Source organism: Homo sapiens, chromosome 2 (assembly GCF_000001405.40).
Source record: "Homo sapiens chromosome 2, GRCh38.p14 Primary Assembly".
Lineage (NCBI taxonomy): Eukaryota > Metazoa > Chordata > Mammalia > Primates > Hominidae > Homo > Homo sapiens.
The window spans coordinates 47,595,693-47,623,414 of record NC_000002.12 but is presented as its reverse complement, the minus strand read 5'-3'; the positions used below and the strand labels follow the sequence as shown (position 1 = coordinate 47,623,414).

Here is a 27,722-nt window from a genome sequence, read left to right as displayed (position 1 = left end):
ATCTCACACCAGTTAAAATAGCTTTCATCCAAAAGACAGGCAGTAATACATGCTGGAGAGGAAGTGGAGAAAAGGGAACCCTCATGCACTGTTGGTGGAAATGTAAATTAGTATGACCACTATGGAGAACAGTTTGGACGTTCTCCCAAAAACTAAAAATAGAGTTACCATACAATACAGCAATCCCATTGCTGGGTATATACCCAATGAAAAGGAAATCAGTATATCAAAGAGATACCTGCACTCCCATATTTGTTGCTGCACTGTTCACAATAGCCAAGATTTGGAAGCACCCTTGGTGTCCATCAACAGATGAATAGATGAAGAAAATATGCTACATATACACAGTGGAGTACTATTCAGTCATAAAAAAAGAATTAATCCTGTCATTTGCAACAATATGCATGGAATTGGAGATCATTATGTTAAGTGAAATAAGCCCTCCAAGTACAGAAAAAAAAAAGCATTGCATGTTGTCACTCATTTGTGGGATCTAAAAATCAAAACAATTGAACTCATGGATATAGAGAAGGGAAGGATGGTTACTAGAGGCTGGGAAGGCTAGTGGTGCGGGTATAGGGGATAGATCAGGATGATTAATGGGTACAGAAAAAAATAGTTAGAATGAATAAGACCTAGTAATTGACAGCAAAACAGTGTGACTATAGTCGATAACAATTTAATTGTACATTTAGAAATAACTAAAAGTATAATTGGATTGTATGTAACACAAAGCATAAATGCTTGAGTTGATGGATACCCCATTTCCCATGATATGATTATAATGCATTGCATGTATGTATCAAAATATCTTATGTACCCCATAAATATATACACATATTATATACCCACAAAAATTCAAAATTTAAAAATTTAAACAACTAATTAAATAGAAGAAATAAGTTCTGGCGTTCTATTGCACAGTAGGGTGACTATGGTTAACAATATTGTATTGTATATTTCAAAATAGCTAGAAGGATCTCAAATGTTCGTACCACAAAGAAATGATAAATGTATGAAGTGAAGGATACGCTAATTACCCTGATTTGAATTTTACACAATGTATACATGTATTAGAACATCACATTGTACCCCATAAATATGTACAATTATTATATGTCAATAAAAATAAAATTTTTAAATGTTTAAATGAGTCCTGGCGCAGTGGCTCATGTCTGTAATCCCAGCACTTTGGGAGGCTAAGGCGGGCAGATTAGAGTTCCAGATAAGGTCAGGAGTTTGAGATCAGCCAGGCCAACATGGCGAAACTCCGTCTCTATTAAAAATACAGAAAATTAGCTGGGTGTGGTGGCAGGTGCCTGTAATCCCAGCTACTTGGGAGGCTGAGGCAGGAAAACCTCTTGAACCCGGGAGACAGAGGTTGCAGTGAGCCAAGATCGAGCCACTGCACTCCAGCCTGGGCGACAGAGCAAGACTGTCTCAGGGAAAAAAAAAAAAAAAGTTTAAATAAATAGAATATGGGTCCGCACAGAAATTTATTCAAATGTTAAGTTTATTGTAACTGATTGAGAGACCAGTATCCACTGAAATTCAGGGCCAGGGTTTGCTGTTACAGCTCCACACTTAACAGTAAATTTGCTGTAGTATTTAAATTTACTTATAAATTTAAACACGTATGTATTTTCTTTCCTTTTCCTTTTCTTTTTTAAAAAATTTCCCCCACTTGAAGAGCTGATATACATGTTTAATTTGGGAGAAAAGTTAGGATTAAAAAAAAAACAGATAAGTAGATAAAAGAAATACAAAATGGATTATACTACACACAGTTTTTGTTACTCCACAATGTAGTATAAACACCTTTTCATGTTAATAAATACGTTGGCATTGTAATAGCTGCATTACTTTCCATGGAATAGATCCTGCATGATCTATGTAACTCCAAGATTTTTTCCCCTATATACACAAAAACAAGCTCCAGTTCCCTGATTCTGGCACCTTCCATGAGTCTAGCCCAAAGAGAAAAGTCAACGCCAATGCTGGCTTTTTGTCGAGAAAGGTGACACGTTGTTATTTGGGCTTCAAAGGAAAAAAATCAAAACTGACAGGTTAGAATTAATTGGGAAAAGCACCTCATCTCAAATGCCATGAGCATTTCAATAGATGGAGCCCAATCTGCTCAGCAGTGCTGCCCTAGGAGGCCAACAGAGTTTCAGGCCACTCCTGGGCCAGTGGCAAGATGGAGAGGAGCTAAAAATAGACCCAGAACTGAGCATTGAGACTTTCCTGAATTCATAGGCATAAATACTGCCCTAGAAGGACTTGCCTCTCCAATGGTTTCCAACCATGGCACGTCACATTGCCTAAAATTCTCAAGGATTATGATTTTGTAAAAGGCCTCTGTCGGGAAGTAGGCAGCTCTCCTGGGAGGAGGGCAGAGTGACCCTCCCATCAGGACAGAGTGGAGACAGCTGCAGCTTTGGAGTCACATGGACTGGGGCTGGTTCCAGCTCTGCCCATCACCAGCTGTGTGACCTTGGGTCAACTCCTCAACCTCTCTGAGCTGCTGTGTTTTCATCTGTAAGAAGGAGATAACAGGCCACTTCACAGAGTTATTGTGAGGATAAAATGGAATGCTGCCTGGAGCAGGGTATAGGAGGTGAACAAATGGGGCGTGTTACTATTACTGAGGACCTGAATTTGTTTCTCAGATTAGCCAGGTGTGGTTTTGGGAGAGCTGAGTTTTCATGGGGTTGGTGGTGTGCATGAGAGCTGTGCAGCAGAGCCCCCAAGCATGACGCATGGAAAAGGAGGACAGGTCTGCACATCCAGGACCAACCAGGGCATTTAGGGTAGGATGCAGATGTGCTGGAATGTATCAGGATACCTCATTCATTGCCATAGCCTCAGCATTCACAGATGTAACATTCATAGAGTCAGATATTCTCTAGTCAACTCTGAAGGTTTGTGAACCTTTTATTTAAAGGTTTGTGACCTTTAATAATAACCTGCTGTTTTGCTGAGACATTAATCTGAAGCACATTAACTTTGAGTAAGACAGTGCATCTTATAGATTTCCCAGGGTTGGCCCTTAATGTGGCTTTGCAGAACACATATTGAAAGCCTGGATTAGGGTCCAGGTCTATTAACCACCCTGACCCCAGAGGCCTGATCTCTGCCCAAGATCCTAGTGGGGCTCGACACACAGGTACCCTCCTTGTCCTGATGGTGACTAGGTTCCATCGAGGGCTTTTCAGGACTGGAGTGACTGATGAACCTCCAGGATGTGTTGGACCATTAACTGGCTGTGCACAGACGACATAAATCCTGTTTAAATGGGTGCTGCGGAGTGAAGCTGCTTTCAACTCTGTATTAGTTTTCTAGGGCTGCTGTAACAAAGCACCACAACTGGGTAGCTTAGAGCAACAAAAATATATCATCTCCCAGTTCTGGAGGCTAGAAATCTGAAGTCACGGTGTTGACAGGGCCATGCTCCCTCAGAAACCTGTAGGGGAGAATCCTTCTTTGCCTCTCTGGCTTCTGGTGCCTTTGGCATTCCTTGGCTTACAGAGAGATGTGTTGCTGCCATCTCTGCCTCCACTGTCAAATGGCTGGCTTTAGCCTGCATGACTCTGACCTCTTCTTTTATTTTATTTTGTTTTATTTATTTATTTATTTATTTATTTATTTATTTTTTGAGACAGAGTCTTGCTCTGTTGCCCAGGCTGGAGTGCAATGGCACGATCTTGGCTCACTGCAACCTCCGCCCCCCAGGTTCAAGCGATTCTCCTGCCTCAGCTTCCTGAGTAGTTGGGATTACAGGCATGCACCACCATGCCCGGTTAATTTTTGTATTTTTAGTAGAGATGGGGTTTCGGCATGGTGGCCAGGCTGGTCTCAAACTCCTGACCTCAGGTGATCCACCCACCTCGGCCTCCCAAAGTTCTGGGATTACAGCCATGAGCCATCATGCCCAGCCTGACCTCTTCTTTTAAAAATACCAGTCACATTAGGCTGGGCACAGTAGCTCACATCTGTAATCCCAGTACTTTGGGAGGCCAAGGTGGAGGACTGCTTGAGCCAGGAATTTGAGACCAGCCTGGACAACATAGCAAGACCCCATCTCTAAAAAATATTGTTTTAAAATTAGCCAGTCATCATGGTAGGTCACAATAGTCCCAGCTACTCAGGAGGCTGAGATGGGAGGATCCCTTGAGCCCAGGAGTTCAAGGCTGCAGTGAGCTATGATCACACTACTACACTCCAGCCTGGGTGACACGGTGAGACCATGCCAAAAAAAAAAAAAAAAATAGATACCACTCACATTAAATTAGGGACCCTTCCTCCAACGTGACTTCATCTTAACTAATTATATCCATGACAATGCTATTTCCAAGTGAGGTGACATTCTGAGGTACCAGGGGTTAGGACTTCAACATACCTCTTTGGAGGGAGATACAACTGAATCCATAAAAGCCTCTGAACTCATTTTGAGACAAGCATTCTCTCTTCAGTGCCTGGGCTAAGATGAGAGAAACATCAGGCATTCTCTCCACAGCCACAGGGAGAACTCCTAAGAGAGACCTGGGCCCACCTCTTGTCTATGCCCTCCAGGTTCAAGCGATTCTCCTGCCTCAGCCTACTGAGTAGCTGGGATTACAGGCATGCACCACCATGCCCGGGTAATTTTTGTATTTTTAGTAGAGATGGGGTTTCGGCATGGTGGCCAAGCTGGTCTCAAACTCCTGACCTCAGGTGATCCACCCACCTTGGCCTCCCAAAGTGCTGGGATTACAGCCACGAGCCATCACACCCTCCTCCATGAACACCCCTCCTGGCTCAGATTGCTACAGCCCAGGCTATTTGGCCAGAGGAGTGGCTTGAAGGGGACACAGCCCTACCTTCTTGCCCCATTTTGGGACTTCGGCTAGCTCTGGTGGTCCGCCAGGAGGACAGGCAGGCAAGGACTTCCTGATCCAATTGCTCAGGTACGTTAGAAAGGGAAAAGTGATGACAAAGCTCTTCGCGCATTTCTTAATACATTTTAAAGTCCTTAACAAAACAAACCTCAGGGCTGAATAAATTGGCTCCCAGATGCTGGCCAAGGAACAAACCAGTTGGACAGTGTGGGGAGTCGGAGAGAGGACAGGCCAGGAGCAGGGTGAGTAAAGAGACTGCCCCTCACCCGGCACCAGGCAGCTTCTTACTGAGATGCCTCTGCTGCTGATCTAGAACCTGGAGCTCTTGGCGCCCCCAGGCAGGGCAGGCGGGAGGGGCTCCTCTGCGAGAGCACTCCCTCCTCACCCAGCTGGTGCCTCCCTTCCCTTCCCCAGAAGGGACACCGGGACACAGGCCTGTCAGCAAATTTTCCCTGGCACGGCTTGGGCCTCAGGCAATTTGGCACCCCCTGAGATAGAGAAGGACAAGCACCGAAGCCTAGCCCCAACTCTCCCACCCGCTCGGGAAGAGAGCCAGTCTTAGAAGTCACCTCCAGGGAGGCCATCGGCTCCAAGGCCAAAGAGTGTGGCCTGTTGGGAGTAGAATTGAGGGGGGCTTTGCATAACCCTCCCATCAGAGGTATTTGGGAGGCAGTGGGTCACTCACTCCTGGTGGAGGTGGCCTCCCACAGCTTTTCCCCATCACTCGTCTCCCCAGCACAGCCCTTGCTTTCCCTCTGCCACTGGACACCCAGTGCGGATGCTGAGCAGACAGCTCAGTATTGAGTCTGCCGGCAGGGCTGCCAATGTAAACTCAGGACTTGGGGATAAGATTTATAGACCAAGAGGAGGGGTTGGCCTTAGACAGAAACTAGAGACTGGGGTGAGGTGCAGTGGGCACTGGTGGTATTGGTGAGAGATTGGAGAAGGAGTCTCCTCTAATGCTTTCTATTTTCTCCATGAAGAACAAGGCGCCTGCAAAGGGCTGGAATGGAGAGGGAAAGTGGATGTGGGGGCTGAGTGGGAAGCTGTGCAGGAATTTCCTGAGGAGGCATGCAAGGCAAAAACTGCCCCATGGTGTTGCCTGCACATTTGAGGTTTAGGGTAATAAACATTAAGTGAATTGGCCCAAATATAAGATTCTCTCCAGCAATGTTTGGCATCTCAGGCACAGAATGGAGGAGACAAAGGCTTGTCAGAGTGGGAGGGAGGCAAACAAGTTGAGGGTGTTTGCAGCAAAGTTATAACAAAGACGGACTGTGAACTCTAAGCCAGGGGGATGGTAGGGTCAGTATGATGTGACCCTTTGCTTGGGCCTTTGACAAGACTTCCGTGACAGCCAAGGATTGTCTGCCCTATCCGGGTGCAATAAGCCAGCCCTCCCCGTCGGCACTGTCAAACCCACACTGCTTGCCCCGCTCTCAAGTGGGGAGGGCACAAGCAAAATCAGGCAACCACTCGTCTTGATCAGATGGAAGACTTTTACAAGTAATTTGTGATTAATAAAAAAAAAAATTGAAGCTTGGGAATCATTTTCTTTGACTGAGTCTGTTGAAGGTTATCTCTGTCGTGTTACTTTGTCTCACTTATGTCCAGCTAAGCTGTCTTGAATGGAGAAGAAATGACAAGTTATGGCCAGCACAAGAGTATTGTGCAAAACCTGCAGTGCTGCTTTTTATGGAGAGTCCCTAGTGAGCAATGCCTAAGTAGCTCTAGAAATTTTTGTCCACATGAATGACAGTGCTGTAGGGGTCTTTGTGCCCAGTAAATGGCTCACACCTGCGGCCCTATCTAACGAGCTTTGTGGTACAGATTCTCAGGGCTACACAAATTCTTATTCAGAGGTTGCCATGGAGACTCCTGGCCACCCACCACCCTCTCTTTTACTCTTCTTCCAAAGTAGCAGGCGTAGCCTACCAGGCTGCCCAGCTGCTGGGTGCTTCCTAGCCTCCTTGTGTGGAGCCCCGTGACTATGTTTTAAGAAACAGTGAAGTGGTAGAAGCGATGTGTGCCACTTCCAGGCCGATGTCTTAAGGCACAGTGTGTTTCCTCTACATTCTCTTTCCATTTCCCACAAAGCTGGAGCACAGAGGGGCCTGCAACCTGGCTTCAACCTGGGACAAAGCTGAAGGGATAAAGAACAAGATGGAAAAAACTTGGGTCCCTCAATGATCAAGGGCAGCAAAGCTACCTGCCAACCAGTAATGCTCACTTTGACTGTATCTTAGATCAGTTGACTAGGAACAGACTCCCCAAGAGGTTTGCTGGGGAAAGCTCTCAGGAGGAGCACCTGTAAGTGGCAGGGCAGGAGAAACTGAACCACAGTGAAGTTTGGCAAGAGCCCTGCACTGATCCAGTGGGGAGCTCTAGACCTGGGATGGCCCTTCCAAGATGTCCTAGACTGAGGCATGGGGATGGAAACTTTTTACGCCATACCTACTAGTCCTTTTTGGATAAAGGCTGCTCCCAAAAGGGGCACAACTTGGGTGAGGCAGCCCCCTTTTTCCAAGGGTAATTCCCAGAGAGGGACTAAGCTAAGAGCCCTCAACAACCAATGCACCCAGCAGCTGGGGAAATGGATGAAGAAAGGGTCTGGGTGGTGCACCACAACATCCACTGCAGACTGTCACCTAAGGGAGAAACTTTGATCTTCTTTAAGCCACTGATTTATTGTAGGGTCTCTTTATTACAGCAGCTTCCCCCACTCCCATCTACTAAATCTCTCTGCTGGTTACCGGTACATATCTTGACCTCAACAGAGAGAAACTCCTTGAGATGGGCACTAACTCAGGTGGTTTGCAAAGTGTGGTCCCCAGATCAGCAGGGTTAGCATCGCCTGGGATATTGTGTAAATTGCAAATTTGACCCTTCCCTTTGGACCTACTGAGTCAGAAATTCTGGGGATGGGGCCCAGCAATGTGTGTGTCCACAAGCTCCCTGACAACACCCAAGATTGAGAACCACTGCTCTAGGTTTTCTCCTTTCTAGACTCAGAGCACCACCCACTGTGCAGGGCACATGGTGGCCTTGAGGGTGGTTTGGAACAGCCTCTCCTTGAAGCCCTGGAGCTGTGCATTAGGAGGCTCACAGCCTGATGATGTTTCATCTGCTGTTTGGATCCCATTCTTCCCTTCTGATACTATCAGCACCCTCCTCTCCTCTGCCTTAGAGGAGTGTAGGCCCATGAGATCCTCACTGCTTTGGGGCCAAGCAGACCTGGCTTCCAGTCCCAGCTGTGTCTACTCCTGGCTGACTGATCTTAGATAATTTGCTTGTCTGTGCCTCAGTTTCCTCGTTTATACAATAAGGATAAGCCCAACTCTACATAGTTATTGTGAGACCAACATGAGAAAATATACTTTAGTGTCTAATCCTGCCCGGCCCCCAGCAGCACTCTATTATCGTAGCTAACTCTGTCCTTGAATATCCTTCAGAGCTCACCTGGTTATTCCAATAAAAACTTCCAAGAATAGGTCTGGGACTCATTCACACTGCAAGGTAAATCACCAGAAACTTAAAGTACTGTGACCCTCCCAGGGGAATTTGCATTTTAAACACAGCCCAAGGATCAGATTAGAACTATTTTTTTTTTCAAGTTTGGTGGTGGGGAGAGGAGGCTTCCTTCCCAGCCCCTGAAATCACACCGCACATTGGGCTCTTTCCCAGTCTGGACTCAAGGCCTTTGACCTTGAGAAGGTCTCATTCTAAAGTGCCTCTTTCAACAGAAAGCTGAGCACACCACCTGGGTTTCAGCTGGTGGTGTTTACAGCTGTCAGATGAGCCCTGGGGGGCTGGGTGGCTCCCCATTTTTATAGTGGTGGAGGAGATGACACTTCTCTATATTTGTTTATTTCATCCGAAAGTGGAAAGTAATCCCTGAGACGTTTCACAGCCCAGATCTCAGGGTTCTCCAAGTCCAGCCTGACTCAGACAGAGAAAGGGAAGAATTTTAAGGACACCAGGGCAATCCTCCTGCCCCAAAAGATTATCCCTAACATGCTAGTTGAGGGCTGATGGTCCTCAACTTGGGACCAATGCCTTCCATTCTGCATTGGGAGTGCAGACACCCACAGGAGAAGGGTCAAGTAACTTCCACTGATATCAAAGATGGAAGTTACTGGCTGACAGCAGGCCTTTCCTGAGAGTGGGTTCTGGTAGGTGGGAGCTCTGGGCAGCTGAAGAGGGAGAGTGCCCAGCTCAAACCAGCCACAAATTTGAGTTCACTGATCGTATCTCAGCACCCAGCGCTATGTTGGCATTTCATCCCAATTTTCACTTTTCTATGAGGTCTTCGTTAATTCCATAAGCCAGCTCTCTATATTCTGTGTTAGTGGCCAGTTGCAGGAGGGATCCATCATACCCACCCATATGGAATTCCCATACCCACAGACAGTCCACCCTCAATAGCACTGCTGTGAGATGCTGTGTGCCTGAGAGGCTTCAGGGATGCATTAAGCGGGTGAGGCTATAAAGCCTGTCCCGAGGGAAGCCCAGGGGTCAACTGAGAATAGTCAATTCTGTCTTCAAGATCCTGCAGAGGACTCAGAACCTGATCTGTTCAATGTTCCAAATTGAGGAACCTGAAGCCTTGTGCTGAGCCAGTGCCACTTACGATCTTCTATATATGGACAGAAAGTTTTATTTTGTCCAGGAGGAATCTCCTCCTTTTGGGTTCAAGTGACTCTCATGCTTCAGCCTCCCAAGTAGCTGGGATCGCAGGCATGTGCCACCATGCCCGGCTAATTTTTGTATTTTTAGTAGAGACAGGGTTTCACCATGTTGGCCAGGATGGTCTCAAACTCCTGGCCTCAAGCAATCCATCCAGCTTGGCCTCCCAGAATGCTGGGATTACAGCTGTGAGCCACCACGCCCAGCCCAGACAGAGAGTTTTAGAACCCAGCAGGCTCTTTCTCATGCCATCTCATCTGGTCCACCTCCAGCCTGTGAGGATAGGTAGGCAGGCTTAGAGAGGCTAAGGGATTTGCCCCAGTTACATAGCTAGTAAGAGGGGAGTTGGGGCCTGTCCCCAGGTCTTGCATTTCCAAATCTGGTTCATTTTCCATTGCTCTAGGAGACAGCTGTAGCAACAAATCCCAGAGTCCATCTGAAGGGTCCCTTGGCCTCCACCAGAGAAGAAAAAAGAGACAGCAGCTGGGCCAAGCATGACCCTGAAATCCAATGGAAAGTCGCTGTATTTCTCCGGCGTTGGCAGTCCTTCTCCTTAGGGCTGCCCAGACATGTGTGTTGAGGTTGTACAATGGCTTTCTCTTATGGTTTGGGACCATTCATTATTTTTCCAAGGAGACAGAGGCCAGGAATTACATGAGCAATTTTCTCAAAGAAGGTACTTTGTATATTACATTATCTCCATTAAAGATTCTGAGATGGACCAGGAGAAGAAAGCCTTGATCTAGAAGAGAAATAGGCAGCATCTAGCCATGGAGGTCACAGCCACAGACCTGGGCGCTTAAAGAGGCTGGAGCCTGACCACCTCTAGAAATGCCCACTGGATATTTCTGTCAGATCATGTGAGCGCCATGGCCTGTCCAGTCCTCCTGGCAAGGGCTGGGAGGTGTGGTTCGCAAATTAAACAGCCAAGCACAAGTGATCCTTGAGTGTTCCTTCCCCACTAAGTGTCTCTTCAGACCAGTCACGTCACCATTGCATTGAGGAAACTGAGGCAGCTTGGCAGGCTCATCTCCCTGTGATGTCAGAACTGGAGGTGGCAGACTCCTTAGGAGACCACTTTTTAGAATAAAGGATGTCTTCTGTGTCTAGAAATGGCTCCCACTCCTTCCCTGCCCTCTGTGAGGCCTCACTTCCTTCCTCAAAGCCACACTGTGATGGTGGAGGGGTCTATCCTCACCTTACTGTGAGGTTTTGGCAGTAGGAGAAAAACTTCTAGGTTTGGTATAGAGTGAAAAATTTTATAGTGGAAAATTCTATTCCATGGCACCGTCTTACCTAATACATTAAACACCCTGGCTTTAACAGCTGGGGCATGTGCTCTTTAGCTACTTCATGCCCACCTTCCGTCCTTCCACCCACTCACCCTTAGAAAAAAGATCTTGCCTATTGTTTTCTCAGAGAAGCTAGTTCACCATACCCAAAATGCTACAGTCTTAGTATCCCAATAAAGATCTTTAAATGTATTTTGGTAGCTGTTATTTAAACAATATGTTCAGTGGATAAAGACTTCCTTATTTTGCGTGCATATGGGACCATGTGTAAAAACAAAATGATTGATTTACACTCTATGTTGGATCAAAACAAGTTATGACAAAATGATGGCATGATTTAGTGGAGAGCCACTGGTCCATCCCTTCAGTGGGAAGAGACCAGAAAGATTTGAGAGATGGACACACGGGGTCAGGCCAGCTCTCAGTTATAGCAGGGCACCAAGCCGATCTCAGGTTCACATTTTCTGTCACTTAATGTTTCCTGAAAGACTGAGATGTCGGGTTCCCTCTTCTCTGCCTTCTGTGATCACATGAGGGAATATAATTCACCCTGACTTTTTTTTTTTTTTTTTTTTTTGTAGAATCAAGCTCTCACTCTGTCATCCAGGCTAGAGTACAATGGTATGATCATAGCTCTCTGCAGCCTCAGACTCCTGAGATCAAGCAATTCTCTCATCTTAGCCTTCAGGCGCATACCACCTGGCTAATTTTTAAAACTTTTTCATAGAGACTGGGTCTTGCTATGTTGCGCATAGCAAGGTCTTGAACTCCTGGCCTCAAGTGATCTCTTGCCTCTGCCTCCCAAAGAGCTGGAATTACAGATGCGAACCACTACAGCTGGGCCTGACTTCTGAACCAACAGTATTTTTTTTTTTTTTTTTTTGAGATGGAGTCTCACTCTCTTCCAGGCTGGAGTGCAGTGGCGCGATCTCAGCTCACTGCAACCTCCACCTTCTGGGTTCAAGCTATTCTCCTGCCTCAGCCCCCTGAGTAGCTGGGACTACAGGTGCCCACCACCATGCCTGGCTAATTTTTGTAATTTTAGTAGAGACGGGGTTCTGCCATGTTGGCCAGGCTGGTCTGGAACTCCTGACCTCAAGTGATCTGCCTTCCTCGGCCTCCCAAAGTGCTGGGATTACAAGCATGAGCCACCATGCTGGGCCTAGTATTTTGTTTTACTATCCTGTAGCAGACACTGGTGATGCTTCCCATAAGCCCTAAACCTACCCTTGAGTATTTCTGAGCATCTCTTCCTCAACTTCTATATGCCTTTATTATGAACACCCCATACCAGTGACTATCTTAAGAAGATAACCTTTCAGTTACTGCAGATCCTTTTCTCAGCCGAAAGCACCTGGGTGTTTGTATTCACCCCCCACCACCCTCCACCCCAGGGTAGGTCACAGCCGATGACAGACCTGTACAAAATTGTGACAGATTACAATTTCTCAAAATGGCCACATCTTGGTCCCACGTGTTCTTCTAGAACACTGCTGCTTCCCAACCAAAAGGCAGAGTCTGTTTTCCCTCCTTTTGAAATTGGCTGGGCCTTCGTGACTACTTCTGTGCAGAATGTGCTGGAAGCAATGCTGTGTAGTTCATGACTCTAGGCCATAACAGGATATATTGCTTATACCTGCCTCTCTCAGGACGCATGCCCTTGGAACCCAGCCACCATGGTGTGAGGAAGCCCAGGCCACATGGGGAAGGTAGGTATAGATTTGCTGGCTAAGGCCCCAGCTAAGGCTCCAGTCCACAGCCAGGACCAGCTGCCAGATCGGTGAGTGATTGCGCCTCCAGAGGACCCAGGCCCCTGCCTTCAAGCTGCTCCAGTTAGTATGGTGTGGGGCAGAGATAAGCTATCCCCACCAAGTCTCCCCCAAATTGAAGACCCATGAGAAAAATTAGTTGTTTTGAGCTACTATGTTTGGGGATGGTTTATTGCTCAGCAATTAATACTTGACATAGACTTAGATACCTGGAAGTGGGATACTACCATAATGAAACCCAAAGAATGCAACTTGGGACTAGGTGGCAATGGAGGCTGGAAGCATCTTGATGAAGGGGTTAATGAAAACCTAAAGGGACTCAAGGGGAATGTCAGGGGAAGCCGATGGCCCTGGAGGACCACTACAATATTGCCTGCCCCCTAAGAAGAAGTGGGGCTTTATTTCTCTTCCCCTTGAAATTGGGCAGGCCTCAATTTTGCTACGTAAAGAGAGCAAAATTAATGCTGTTATTGTTTTAAGCACTGTAGGGGAGGGGTAGGAAAAGACCATCTCATGAGGCTAACTTATTAATTACTCTTAACAAGCACTTTAAGAACACCAAATATACATGGATTATTCCTAAACTTAATTTTTAAAAAACTAGTAATATTATTATTTTTATTTGCATTTTTATATCCATAATTAATTTTGTTTTGTTTTGTTTTGAGATGGAGTCTTGCTCTGTCACCCAGGCTGGAGTGCAGTGGCTCAATCTCAGCCCACTGCAACCTCTACCTCCTGGGTTCAGGCAATTCTCCTGCCTCAGCCTCCTGAGTAGCTGGGATTACAGGAACATGCCGCCATGCCCGGCTAATTTTTGTATTTTTAGTTGAGACAGGGGTTTCACCATGTTGGCCAGGCTAGTCTTGAACTCCTGGCCTCAAGTGATCCACCTGTCTTGGCCTTCCAAAGGGCTGGGATTACAGGCGTGAGCCACCAAGCCTGGCCTATATCCACAATTAAGTGTAAACTTCCTCTGGGTTAAAGACTCTAATTCACTAAGAAAAAAAAATATTTTTACCATTGCAAGAAATTGGGATTAACATTCCAAGCAAATTGGATGACCCTCTTGTTAGGCTGGGTTGCTCATAGACCATATTTTTGGCTGGGTCATGAGATCTGGAGCTATAGACACCCAGGAAAATTTTTCTCATGACAACAACAAATAACTTGAGCCCGATTATGTAGAAGTTGTGCCTAAACTTTGTGATTCCCAGTTCAAACCCTCCAAATGGGGTGGTCTCACAGCCTGTGCTCTGGGTTATATCTTCCTTACCTTTTATATCTTCCCCAATTATCAAGCCTGATTTGAGTTTACAAAACCAGCCCCTCACCAGCAACCCAGATCCTTCCCCTCTGCATTAAAAGTCCTCTATTGACTGCTTAATACTATTCTGAATTCTTTTTATGCTCTTCCAATCTGTCGGGGCCACACCTCTTGAATATATTTAAATCCAACTGGATTCTGAACATCCTTCCCTGTCTGCATGGCTCCCATTGAGGTTACTTCAATGACAGATGGAAGGCACAAAGATGATCATTGTAGCATCTTTTGTAACAGCCTAACAATTTGAACAAATAAAATGGCCAGGAAAGAAACTGTTGGATCTCAGATCACATTCAGGGTAAGGTGGCAAGAGGGGAAATACAAGGTGGCCTTGGTGCCAGGCACCTGTAGTCCCAACTACTCAGGAAGCTGAGGCAGGAGGAGCTTGAGCCCAGGAATTCAAGGCTGGAGTGAGCTATAATGGTGCCAGTGCACTCCAGCCTGGATAATAGAGCAAGACCCCGAAAAAAAAAAAGAGAGGAAATACATCAGTCACTTATGTAGGCCTATGAAAGCCTAAGGAACAAGCCAGAGGGCATGAGACCCCAAGCCAATGCTGTACTTGGGATCTGTACATGCACACCATCCCTTATACCCACTGCTGATCACAGTGAAGCAAAGTCTGAAAGCTGCCTGGAAGGGGTGAACAGTCTGCACGTTGCATGTGCACAGAGGCATGTAGGACACAGATGAAAAATTTACCCATATTCATGCCCAGAATTTGAGATGCAGAGACCCAGCAACTAAAATGGGCCTGCAAGCTGTGCCTCCCGCAAAGGGAAAGGCCTGATCAACTCATTCATACGAGGGGTGGTGTGACTACGGAATGTCTATCTAGAAAGGATTTAGGGAGGGCAATTGGTTGGAAGAAGGACGATGGCAGATTTGGGTGGAAACAGTGCTAGCATTATAAAGTGCAGTGTTTTTATTCTCAAATGGCGGCCGGGCGCTGTGGCTCATGCCTGTAATCCCAGCACTTTGGGAGGCTGAGGCAGGTGGATCACGAGGTCAGGAGTTCAAGACCAGCTTGGCCAAGATGGTGAAACCCCATCTCTACTAAAAACTACAAAAATTAGCCAGGCACGGTGGCAGGTGCCTGTGATCCCAGCTACCTGGGAGGCTGAGGCAGGAGAATCGCTTGAACACGGGCAGCGGAGGTTGCAGTGAGCCGAGATTGTGCCACTGCACTACAGCCTGGGCAACAGAGTGAGACTCTCTCTCAAAAAAAGAAAAAAAAAAAAAAGAAATGGAGCTGGTAGCTAACCATCCTCCCAGCCACCCCTTGGCACTGCCTCTACCAGACACTAAAAAAGCATAGAGAGGGTACTGCCTTGCTCCACCAAAGAGACTCTCTAATGGTAAAGGCAGGGACAGAAAATTGGACTTGATAGAGGGGGGTCCCTTGAGAGCAGAAAGTAATGTTCAAATCTCTTACAACAAAATATGTTCTCTGGCTTAGTGAAATAGACAGGCTGGCAAGAGTGGCTGGGAATTTCTTTCCAGGTAAGAAACCTGAAAGGGAAAATTACCACTGGGCAGGCAGAACTTTCTAGAATGCCCAAGGGCTTATCCCCTGTTCCACCAACTGCTGAGTCAGCAGAGGACCTTGTGTTTATTTAATTCTGTATCTCGCCAGCTGTGTCTGTATTAACACTAGCCCCAGACTTAGAATTAATCAGCCTTCACATTTATAGGTGATGCTTTTTGCTGAGAAGTACAGAGCAAAGGAGAGAACAGAAGGAAAATTCAAGCTTCTGTGGAGGGATTCTTCTAGCTGGAAAACCCCAATTCAGGGTGGTCCAACCTCAGAGGGAGTACAAGCCCCAAGTCCCGCAGGACAGGCATGGGGGAAGTACTCAAGTTCAAATGCTGATGTTCTGACCTGGAGACGGGAGAGCAGGGGCTGGAATTCAGCTGGAGTAGTGGAGGCGGTCGGAGTCCTGCTTGCTGGGCCCTCTCCGCTGAAGGAGGCCAGATGCCCTGCCGGTGCAGGCAGTTCAGCCAGCGCTAGTGAGAGCCCACACATGCCCAGCTCTGTGTCAGGGGCTGTGTGTTTCGGGTGGGAGTAGGGTCTGGAAGAAAAGCAAGAAGACAGATAGACCTCATGAAATAGAGGCAATTCAAGGCTAGGGGTCAAACTTAAAGCACTGGGGCAGGCAGTGGGATGCATTTTCTTCACCAATAGGCATCAGAAAACCTAGATTCCAGGCTGAGCAACATCACAGCTGAGGTCTCTATAACAAAAGAGAGATCAGCAAGAGAAAAGGTTCATTCCATTTTGATACAGCCACTTGACACATAATTTTTCACTACAACCCAGATGAGCTACCACAAGTGCAGCATTAAAATGAAAGGGCCCAGTGAAAAAGCCTAGAAACACAAGGCCACATATCATATGATTTCACTTCTTTGAGATGTCCAGAATGGGCACATACACAGAGACACAGGCAGATTCATGGTTATGAGGGGCTGGGGGAGGAGGTAACAGGGAGGGACTGCTTAATGGGTACAACGTTTCCTTTCGGAGCGATGAAAATGTTTTGGAATTAGATAGTGAGGATGTTGTACGACATTGGGAGTATACTTATTGCCACCAAATTATTCATTTAAAAAGGTTAAAATAGTAAATTTTATGTAGTGTTTTTCTATAATTCTTTTTAAAATGGACCCACTTTCCACGTTTGGTTGCCATTTGCTCCCATGTGTCCTTGAAGGGAGCAACCTCTCTGTGCTTCAGTTCTCTTCCCCTGCAGCTCGAGGCTCTCAGCCCTGCCTGTCCTCCAGGGCCATGGGAGGTCATGTGAGAGCAGGAAGGGGGTGGGCATGGGCTCAAAGCCCACCCACAACACTCACTCATTGTAGGACGTGAGCAAGTTACCTGGGCTCTCTGAATCCCCATGTTGGCATCTACAAACAGAGTTTCTGGGAGTCCAGACTTTTGCTGTTTGAGTTAGAACAACTCTTATGAGGAACCAACATGTATAAACCAAGCAAAAAAAGTACAAGTGTGTGTGTATATGTGTCGTGTCTAGCATAGCCTCACTAAAAGGGAGCTAATAGAACTGATAAATAGAACTAATAACTAATAAAGAACTAATAGAACTAATAAAAGTGAAAGCAAGTTCTAAAATAAAACCTCTGATTAACCCTAAGGAACAGAAGATGGTGAAGTCGGCCATAATTGTTGGTAACACTTCATAGAAAACTAGGATTCGCACTGACCTTTAAGGAGAGGTGAGATTTGGGCAGGTGGGTGTGGGGAGGGACAGGACAGGGCATACATGAGAAATGCTTAGAGGTAGGAGCATGCTGGGGCCTGCAAGAAAACTGGGCTGGCTGGAGCAGAGTATTTGGGACACACAGGGAAGGACCAGGTGTTGGGCTTTCTTGAACATGAGGCCAAGAGTTTAGAACTCATCCTGAGGGCACAGAGGAGTCATGGATGGTTCTTTTTTTTTTTTTTTTTTCCTTTCTGAGATGGAGTCTTACTCTGTTACCCAGGCTGGAGTGTAATGGTGCAATCTCAGCTCACTGCAACCTCCACCTCCCAGGTTCATGCAATTCTCCTACCTCAGCCTCCCAAGTAGCTGGGATTACAGGTGCCTGCCACCATGCCTGGTTAATTTTTTTGTATTTTTAGTAGAGGCAGGGTTTCACCATGTTGGTCAGGCTCATTTCCAACTCCTAACCTCAAGTGATCCACCTGCCTCAAACTCCCAAAGTGCTAGGATTACAGGCGTGAGCCGCTGTCCCCAGCCATGGATGGTTCCTGAACAGGGAAGCAAGATGATGGTTATTGTAACAGAAGAGAATGAATCTGGCCCATACTGTGCAGCAATGCTTAAAGATAAGAGTCTAGAGGCAAGGAGATGAGCCTGGCATCTATGGTTTTAACCCAGCATGAGATAATGGGGCATGGGGGAGGGGAGTAGACCAATCTTAGAAACACCCCGTGGAAGATTCACAGAAGTTCTTCTGGGCTCCAGATTCACCCTGCCACCACTAATTCTTGGCTTTTGGCATCAACAACATTGGTCTAGCTATTTCTCATCTGTGGGTGTGTTCCTGGAAAAAGTTATAGTAGTAGCCAAGAAAATGATTCAGGGGACACAGGCAGAGCTGCATTGACAAGCCCATGTCAGGAAGCACAATGCCATGTGGGAGGAAGGAGCTGGCTCTCTGAAAGATTGGCTTGATGGGGTTCAGGGCATGCTACCCCCAAATATGGTATCTTGGCATTTGCAAAACAGTGGAAGTAGGAAGATCACTTTCACCTTCCCCTCTTCTCCCCTGAAGCAGGCCATCTGATCTAGGAAAGATTTTTCTGCCCTCCCCTACAGCGGATCAGAAGACCCTCGTGTGAGAGGTAAGGAACATTCTCATCTCTGAAGACAAAGGGTCACAGAGGGGAACCAAACAAATGGGCCTTGCTAAGCTCCCCTAGTTTGTTAGCATTAGATCATACTTCTAATCCAATCATACTTCACCGCCGTCATTCACTTCTTCATCAAACCTAGCATTAAAAATCCACAGGTTTTACTGTTTCTTTGTGTCTTCATTTCCTTATAAACTGTAATCGGTTTCACATAAAACTTACTAAATACTTTTATACTTTTCTCTTGTTGATCTTTTCTCTTGTTGATCTGATAGATCTCTTGTTGATCTATCTTTTGTTATCGGGACCTCAGCTGTGAACCTAGCAATGGGTGAGGAAAAGCTATTCCTCTCCTATAGGGTTAACCTTGCTACTTGGAATTGGATGCCATAAAGCTCCAAGGCACTTGGGCTGCTCTTGCAGGTCTGTAGGATGGCAGCCAGAAAGGCTCATCATTCCCTGTGGTGGCCACAGGGTACTCCCTGGCAGGGAGAATAGGCAGCTGCTGATACCATGTATTAATAAGGATCTCCATGATCCCAGCAAGTGGCCCCAGGAGAAAATTCTTGCTGTATCAGTCAATTGGGTAACTATTTTTTTTTTTTTTTTTTGAGACAGAGTTTCACTCTTGTTACCTAGGCTAGAGTGCAATGGCGTGATCACGGCTCACCACAAACTCTGCCTCCCGGGTTCAAGCGATTCTCCTGCCTCAGCCTCCTGAGTAGCTGGGATTACAAGCATGCGCCACCACACCTGGCTAATTTTGTATTTTCAGTAGAGACGAAGTTTCTCCATGTTGGTCAGGCTGGTCTTTAACTCCCGACCTCAGGTGATCCGCCCGCCTTGGCCTCCCAAAGTGCTGGGATTACAGGCGTGAGCCGCCGTGCCTGGCGGGTAACCATAGCAATATGCCTTGAGCCCACCCAGGAGGCGGTGATTCCACACCAGGGTATGTGGGAGCACAGATATCCTATAGAGATGCATGCTGGAAACTACAAAACATTGTTGAGAGGACTCTTAATAAAGAACTCTCTGAATTCGATAATAAGAAAACATGAAACCCAACTTAAAAAAAAAAGAGCAGAAGATTTAGACAGACACTTCTTTAAAGAAGATAAACAGATGGCAAACAAACATATGAGAAGATGCTCAACATCACCAGTCACTGAGAAATGCAAATTTAAATCATGATGAGATATCATTACATACCTATTAGAATGGTTACAATTTAAAAGATGGGCCATTCCAAGTGTTGGAAAAAAACTGCAATCGATAGTACTTTTATATACTGCTGGTGGGAGTATAAAATAATACAATCACTTAGGAAAACAGTTTGATAGTTTCTTATAAACTTAAACATACATCTGCCATAAGATCCCACATGGAAGAACCCTAATGTCCATCAACTGGGGAATGGATAGACAAATTGCGGCACATCCATAGAATGAACTACTAGTCAACAATAAAAAGAAATGAACTACTAATATAAGCAACAATATGGATAAACCTCAAAACAATTATGCCAAATTTTAAAAGCGACACTAAAAAAGACCACATACTATTCCATTCTAGAAAATGCAACTAATCTGTAGTTTGCTCAATGGTTGACTCAAGATAGGTGGGTAGGGACAGACAGGCAGGAGGGAGGAATCGCCAAGCACAACAATGAAGCTTTTGGGGGAAGATGTTCATTATCTTGATGGTGGTGATGGTTTCGTGTGTATATACACACACACCAAAACTCATGAAATTGTACACTTTGTGTGTAGTTTATTGAGTTTTGTCAATTATATCTCAATAAACCTGTACAGAAAAAACAAACCTCCAAGTTATTTGCATCCTATTCAGGGTAAAAGCCAAAGTCCTCATAGTGGTGAAGCAACATCGCTGACTCACCATTCACCATTCTGCTGTCCCCCAGCTTCCAGAACAGTGCCTGGAACATAAAAAGGGCTAAAGAGATACTTGCTAAATGATTGCCCAGCAGGTCCCCAGTTAATAGTAGTAGTTATTTAATAAGTGTTGTTAAGAACGAGGAGGAGGAAGAACTGACCGCATTTCTCTGGCATCTCTGTGTCCTGGAAAAAAAAAATAATAGTTTTTTTAAAAAGAGCAAGAAGGAACTCCTCAAATGATTAAACATGGAGTTACCATACGACCCAGCAATTCCACGCCTGGGTATGTTCCCAAGGGAAAGGAAAAATATGCCCACACAAAAACTTGCTCATGGTAGTCAAAAGGTAGAAATAACCCACATGCCTGCCCAGTAACTGATGAACCGATAAACAAAACGTAGTATATCCATACAGTGGAATATTATTTAGCCATAAAAAGGAATTAACGATACATGCCAAAACATAAATGAACCTTGAAAACATTATGTTTAAGTGAAAGAAGGCAGTCATAAAGGCCACATATGATATGATTCCATTTACATAAAATGTCCAGAATAAGTCTCTGTAGGGACAGAAAGTAGATTAGTTTTTGCTTAGGACTGGCATGTGTTGGGGAGATGGACAGGTGACAGCTAAAGGATATAAAATTCTTTTTGGGGGTGATAATGTTCTAAAATTGTGGTGATGGTTGCATATATCTGTGAATATACTAGAAACCATTGAATCATACACTTTATTTTTTATTTATTATTATTATTTTTTTTTTGAGGCAGAGTTTCACTATTGTTGCCTAGGCTAGAGTGCAATGGCATGACTTCAGCTCACTGCAACCTCCACCTCCCGGGTTCAAGTAACTCTCCTGTCTCAGCCTCCCGAGTAGCTGGGATTATAGGCACCTGCCACCACTCCTGGCTAAGTTTTTGTATTTTTAGTAGAGACACGGTTTCACCATGTTGGCCAGGCTGGTCTTAAACTTCTGACCTCAGGTGATCTGCCTGCCTCAGCCTCCCAAAGTGCTGAAATTACAGGCGCGAGTCACCGCCCCTGGACAAATCATATACTTTAAATGGGTAAATTGTATGCTATGTAAGTTGTACCTCAATAAAGCTGTTTAGAAAGAGTAAGGTGGTATGTGAGGGAAGGCAATGCTCTTGCTCAGAGTTTGAGTGGAGAATGGTAACCCCTTTCTATGGTTAGTTCACTGGTGTGGTTACGACCCCATCGAGCAACCCCTGAGAATAAGGTGGCTCAATTTATCCAGCAGAGAAGGGGCTAAGGGACCAGAGAGAGCCCTGGAATGGAGGAAAGTCTTTTTCTCCAGGGACAAGTAAATGAAAGCAGTTCCTTGTAGCTCTGCAGCCCACGGCTGGGGCTCTGGCTGCTGCCTTGCGCTGTATTGAGCGACATGACGTCCCCTAATTGCCTCTTAATGATAATACCTTCTATTTATACCAAACACCTCTCCTCCCAGGAGAGCGCTATGTTTTCCCAACATTGATTCAGTAAGCCAGCCAGACTGAATTGAATTAAAATTCACAGCAGCCATTCACACAAGCCTACCCCTTTCCCCTGCCTGCCCCCTCCTTCGCGCACTGCTGTGATGCTCACAGCAAAGCAAGGAAGTCAAGAAGGTTGGACTTCTACACATCTGTCCCACTGAGGCACCCTGCCCCTACCACGCTCTAGGCCTTGGGGGCAGCAGGGGTGGGGGCTAAGGGCCCTTCTATCATGGGAGAAATACAGTGCTGAAGAGAAGGGTCTTCACGTGTGATACCCTCCCCCTCTCCAGAAACATATCCATTTGAATCCATTAAAACTCAAAGGTGAGAACTGCTGATGAGGGGATATCAGGCACAAAGGAGAACTACATTGAGGGGGCACTGGAGTCTTTTCTGATTTTCACTATCTACCACACAGGCAGCTGTCTATTTTGCCTAGGTCAAAGGGCAACACAGGTTCCTGGTCAGTACCAGTGGAGAGTTCTCCATTGTGCAGACCCCTGGCTCACTGTCAGGCTCTGTTAGCCCTTTCCCGTTAGCACAGATTCCGGTGGCCCTGGCCAGTCTATATTCCTGGCCATTCCATATTCCTGGCCTAAGGGACAGAACAGAAGGGGCCCAAGGAAGAGCCTGCCCTGGTCTGACTGGATTGATGGATGGATGTCCCCAAATGCACACAGCCACACACACAGCGCCTCACCTTCTCTGTGCCTCTGTCCTGCTCTGCCCAGCTGGCAGAATGCCTGGGGGCCAGTGGGGTAAGCACAGTGCTGGGAGCAGGGGTCTCCTGCACACATCCTCACTCCTCACATGTCACACAGCATTGATGAGTCAATCAAGAGCGAGGCCTTTTTGTGGCACTGTGTGCCTGCTTTGTGCCACCTTCTACAGAGAAGACCACATACCCTTTCCTGGCTGGGGAGATGCAGATGGCTTGAGAGATGAGGGCCTAAGGGTGCCTCCCAGGGCAGGATGAAACCATATGGCCCAAATCCTCAGGGGCTGCAGAGCTTTACTCACAGACCCTGGATCTCGGGGTAGGAACTACTTAGGGGTCGTTTCATCGCATCCTGCCCCTATCCCATCCTCATCCGTTGCCTTCCTCCCCTTGCCAACATCAGCAGCACTTAAAAAGCAGGAACGCCACTGCCCAAGTCTTCTCCACACAGGTCCTTGACCCCCTCACTGCCCTTCATTACCCAGGCCCCCTTGGTGCTGCCTGTCATCAAGGCCCCTCAGCCCACCAATAGCCATGGTAATCTCGGCTCCTTGAGAGGACACCTAGGGATGGGGCATGGAGCCCCAGGGATCATACAGCACCCATCTTTCAATAAGGCAATTGAGTGGCCCTTCAAAAAGCAGGGGTCCATGACATGAACAGGATGTTCTTCAAACCACAGCCTGCCCCACTCCCACAGAAAGGGCCCAAGTGTTGGCCTCTATCATGTTGTATTTAAAATACCAGTCCAAGAGCATTAGATTTCCCATGTGAATGAACATCAAAGTTTTGGTACTGAGACTCCTCTTGAAATTGCAATTAGGAGGTTGTCATTTGTATCTTTTGGATTTATAAGGATTGGGCAATTATAATAGCAATAATAACAAAGCACCTTACTCTGTGATAGCATTTTTTGGTATACCAAGTACACTTATACATGTTGTGAAAGAGTGAACATTTGATTAAAATGATGAAATATTACAGAGGGGCACTCTTAGGTGTATGTAGTAGAGGGCAAGCCTCATGATAGCTCTGTGTGTGTGTGTGTGTGTGTGTGTGTACAAGAAAGACACAGAAAATGCACCCCAAATGTTGCTCAGCACTCCACAGCTGCTGCAACAGGCATTGAGGGCACTTACAATGCTGCTGTTGGTGTAGACGAAATTGGTGTCTCCAGGCCCTGCATTTAAACAGGAAGCTGCCTAGCCAAGGCAATCCTGCGGAGTCCAACATCATTAAGGCCAGTTGTGGCGAGCACACCTCATTGTCCCTCCATCAGTAATAACTGCTTTATCTGCTGGGACAGCCACAGGAAGATGCTGGTGCTGATCATGAATGCCCTCCAGGAGCTGCCTGGCACACAGCGGCCAGCATGCGAGCTCTGAGAGATGAGAAGAGACACCAGGGCAGGTGGTCCGGATTATCTCCATGGCCCCTGCCAGCTGCAAAATCCTAGACTTTTATGAAGATTCAGAGAGATGGGGAAAGCTGGAGAGCAGGATGGAGTGAGATGCACCCAGGACCAGAGACTGTCAATGTCATCATTTAATAGGTCCCTCTCATTTGTCACTTGAGAAACTGAAACCCAGAGACAGAAAGTGACTTCCTCAATGCCATATACTGGATAGGTGGTAGGTGAAGTACAAGTGTCCTGGCCTTGGTTCTCTTTCCGTGGTTATCCCCCGACCGTCTTAGTCTATTCAGACTGCCATAACAAAATACCATAAACTGGGCAGCTTATACACAACCGAAATTTACTTCTTACCATCATGGAGGCTGGGAAGTCCAAGATCAAGGCACTGGCAGATTTGGTAGCTGGTGAGGGATCCCATTGTCATAGGTGGCACCTTCTCACATGGTGGAAGAGGCAAGGTCACTCTCTGGGGCCTCTTTTATAAGGGCACTAGTCCCATTCAGGAGGTCTCCACCCTCGTGACTTAATGACCTCCCAAAGACCCCACCTCCTAATACTATCAACTTGGGGGTTAGGATATCAACACATGAATTTTGAGGGACACAAACATTCAGAGCATAGCACCTATACTTGGCATTCCCATACCTGCTGACGGGTGGAAAAGGCCATCCAAAGGCCTGGATCTATGGAGAGACAGACCATCCCACAGCCTTGCCCCTACCCGAAATTCAGCCCAAACCAGCCAGTGACCTCTCAGCACTGCTCTGTGGGAGGCCATCCAGGCAGAAGGCACAGACAGAATGACTGACAGTCACTGGCCAGACAGGCCTCCCCCAGCAGCTGCAAAGGGGCTGTTTTGGGGCAAGGCTTCTTAGCTGTGGTCATTCCTGGGCTATGGATTGCACCATCACAGTCACCAGCCCAGGAACAATTCCAAACTAGTGAGGGACATTCTGCTGGAGGCCCTGGGACAGTAAAGGTTTCAGTCTTGGCATGTACGAGATCTTGTTCAGTCAAATGGGACAATAAAAAAGGAATTTGTGCTCAGATGCTGTGAGAGTCTGGCAGTTCTTCAAAAAGTTAAACACAGAATTACCACGTGATCCAGAAATTCCATTCCTAGATATATACCCCCCAAAAGTGAAAACAGGTGTTCAGACAAATACTCGTATATGAATTCTAATAGCAGTGCTGTTCACAATAGCCCAGAGGTGGAAACAACATAAACGTCCATCAACAGATGAATGAATAAACAAAATGTGGTATGTTGGCGAGGTGTAGTGGCTTATTCTTGTAATCCCAGCAGTTTGGGAGCCCAAAGCAGGAGGACTGCTTGAGGCCAGGAGTTCAAGACCAGCCTGGGCAACATAGCAAGACCCTTGTCTCTACAAAGAAAAGTTTTTTTAAATTAGGCAAGCTATGATCACCCCACTGCGCTCCAGCCTGGGTGAGAGTGAGACCCTGTGTCTAAATAAGTAAATAATGTGGTATGTCCACACAAAGGAATAATATTAAGCCATATGATACGGTTTGGATCTGTGTCCTTGCCAAATCTCATGTCAAACTGTAATCCCCAATATTGGAGGTGGAGCCTGGTGGGAGGTGATTGAGTCATGAGGGTGGATTTCTCATGAATGATTTAGTACCATCTGCTTGGTACTGTCCTCACAGTAGTGAGTGAGTTCTCATGAAATCTGGTTGTTTAAAAGTATATAGCACCTCCCCCTCACTCTCTCTGGCTCCCGCTTGGCCACGTGAAGTGTTGGCTCCCCCTTCACCTTCTGCCATGACTGTAAGTTTCCTGAGGCCTCCCCAGAAGCCAAGCAGATGCCAGCGTCATGTTTTCTGTACAGCCTGTGGAACCGTGAGCCACTTAAACCTCTTTTCTTTATAAATTACCCAGTCTTGGCTATTTCTTTATAGCAACCCGAGAATGGACTAATACACCATACAAGCAAATGAAGTACTGACCCATGCTATAAGGTGGATGAACCTCTAAAACATTATGCTAAGTGAAAGAAGCCAGTCACAAAAGATCACATGTTGTATGATTCCGTTTATGTGAAATATCCAGAACAGGTAAACTCGTAGAAGTAGAAAGTAGGCTGGTGGTTGCCAGGGCTGGGGGGAGGCAGAATAGGGAGTAACCGCTAAATGAGCACAGGGTTTTATTCGGGGGTGATGAAAGTGTTTTGGAGCTAGAGGTGGTGTTTGTACAACATTGTGAATGTACTAGGTATCACAGATTTGTTCACTTTAAGATGGTTAATTTAAAAAAAAATGAATTTGTGGGCTTCCATGCCCTCCAAATCTAGGCACTTGAAGGATCTCATCAGGACTTGGTCTCTCTCCCTCCATCCTTCAATGCTGCTCCCTCGGCAGGCTTGGCCACGTGCTGGCTTCTGGACCTTCCATCAGACATTATCCCTAGAGCTAGTGATCCCCACTGAAGGAAAGCTTCACTTTTCCCAGTGGATTCATCAAAAGCCCCTAATTTGAGTCTCATTTGCCTGAGCCAGTCCCTGAGGCCAGGCAGGTAAAATGCTCTAACTGGCCAGGGTGGGTCCTGGTCTGACCCTGTGGCAAGGGTTGGGGGTGAGCATCACAGGATCTGCCTCATCCAAACCAGAGGGGCTGAGAAAGGGGAGGAGGTGTTCCTCAAGGGCAATGGAGTCTGGGTGGGAAGAAATAGCCAATGTCCACTCCAGGACTCTGGAAAGTGTAGCTTTTCTTTCTCCCTCCCTCTTCTTGTGCTGAGATACTTTTGAAGGCTGCAGCACGAGGGGAAGATGAGTTCCTTGGCATAGGCGTGATCTCCACTCATCTGTCCCAATGCCACCAGTGTCTCAGCCCCACTAACTGTATGATCCTTCCCCTCATTATGCCCCCTCAGGTCATCTGACTGTCCTTGCCATGCCAGAACAAGCTGGCCCTCTGGAATTTTATTTTGATGATGAATAATGATTTTGGATCAGGAGAATACAGCTGGTAAGAAAGAGAAAACATGCCCCTTCCCTCATGGGGAGCTGCCATTTCTCTCACACTTGAATCCAAGCCCTCTTTCTAAGACCTCCCTCCATGATCACTGTGCCCACACCAGGTCTTCCTTCCCAGCACTCCCTGAGCCCACACAATTAGGACCACTTTAGTGTTGATTATAGACTTGGTGATGGATTGACCAAAGGGGTATGCCTGGCAGAAGGCTTTTATTCCAGAAGGCTTCTGTCCTCTGCAGTTGGGAATGACCCATCCCAGGGACCCCAGCCCCCCTCTCCACTCAGTTCCTGGGCCTGGATGAACTAGCACAGCTGCTGAGCTTCTCGGGAAGCCAGGAGGTGGGAGTGGGGTGGGGCAGGGAGAAGGTGGGTGCTAGGTCTTTTGTCTGGGCCCAAGTCAGCAGGCATCCAACTTATACTCAGAATTTGCTGAGTCTCTCCAATGCAATTTTAAAATAATTTGGGCTTGCCCCTACATTAGGGAACTACCGAAGCCCTCTCTTACTTACTTGAAAATTTATTTAACTATCTCTGTTTAGCACTTTGCTTAAGAAACAGGGCACTTCTCTCTAGAGAACAGGGAGGTGATGTGAGGTCTTTTTGAATGTGAAAGGAATCCAGTGTGCCAGGGGAAGGCACAGGAGGCGGATGAAGAATGCTTCATTTGAAGAATGTGCTGAGCACTGTGTGAGTGTCGGCCTCCAGGGGTTCAGTCCAGCCAGGGAATAGGACCTGCAGCAGCAGAAACACTCTGCCTGGGAGAGCCAATGGTGTTCTGGCATTTCCTTCGCTATGTTGACAAAGGAAGAGTAGTTGAAGCCATCCTCACAGGGTTAACAAGAATTCTGGACAGAAATATTGTTATAATTAAGCA

General features: G+C 46.5%; 1 protein-coding gene across 26 annotated transcripts in view; it reads right to left on the bottom strand.

Moving 5' to 3' along the window:
- Positions 1-27,722, bottom strand: part of MSH2 (mutS homolog 2) — a 306,764-nt gene that overhangs the window by 86,416 nt on the left and 192,626 nt on the right. For 8 of the 26 annotated variants that reach the window (NR_176244.1, NR_176248.1, NR_176245.1 and 5 more), the window contains one exon: positions 15,834-16,023. The exons of 17 other annotated variants lie outside the window; for them this stretch is intronic. Coding sequence is in view for 1 of the 9 variants with exons in the window: in XM_047444416.1 (XP_047300372.1) it covers positions 15,959-16,023 (65 nt within the window). In the remaining 8 variants the exon portion in view is untranslated. Of the gene's footprint in view, positions 1-15,622; positions 16,024-27,722 lie in introns of those variants that run through there. One more of the 26 variants, XM_047444416.1, reaches the window with a different exon arrangement.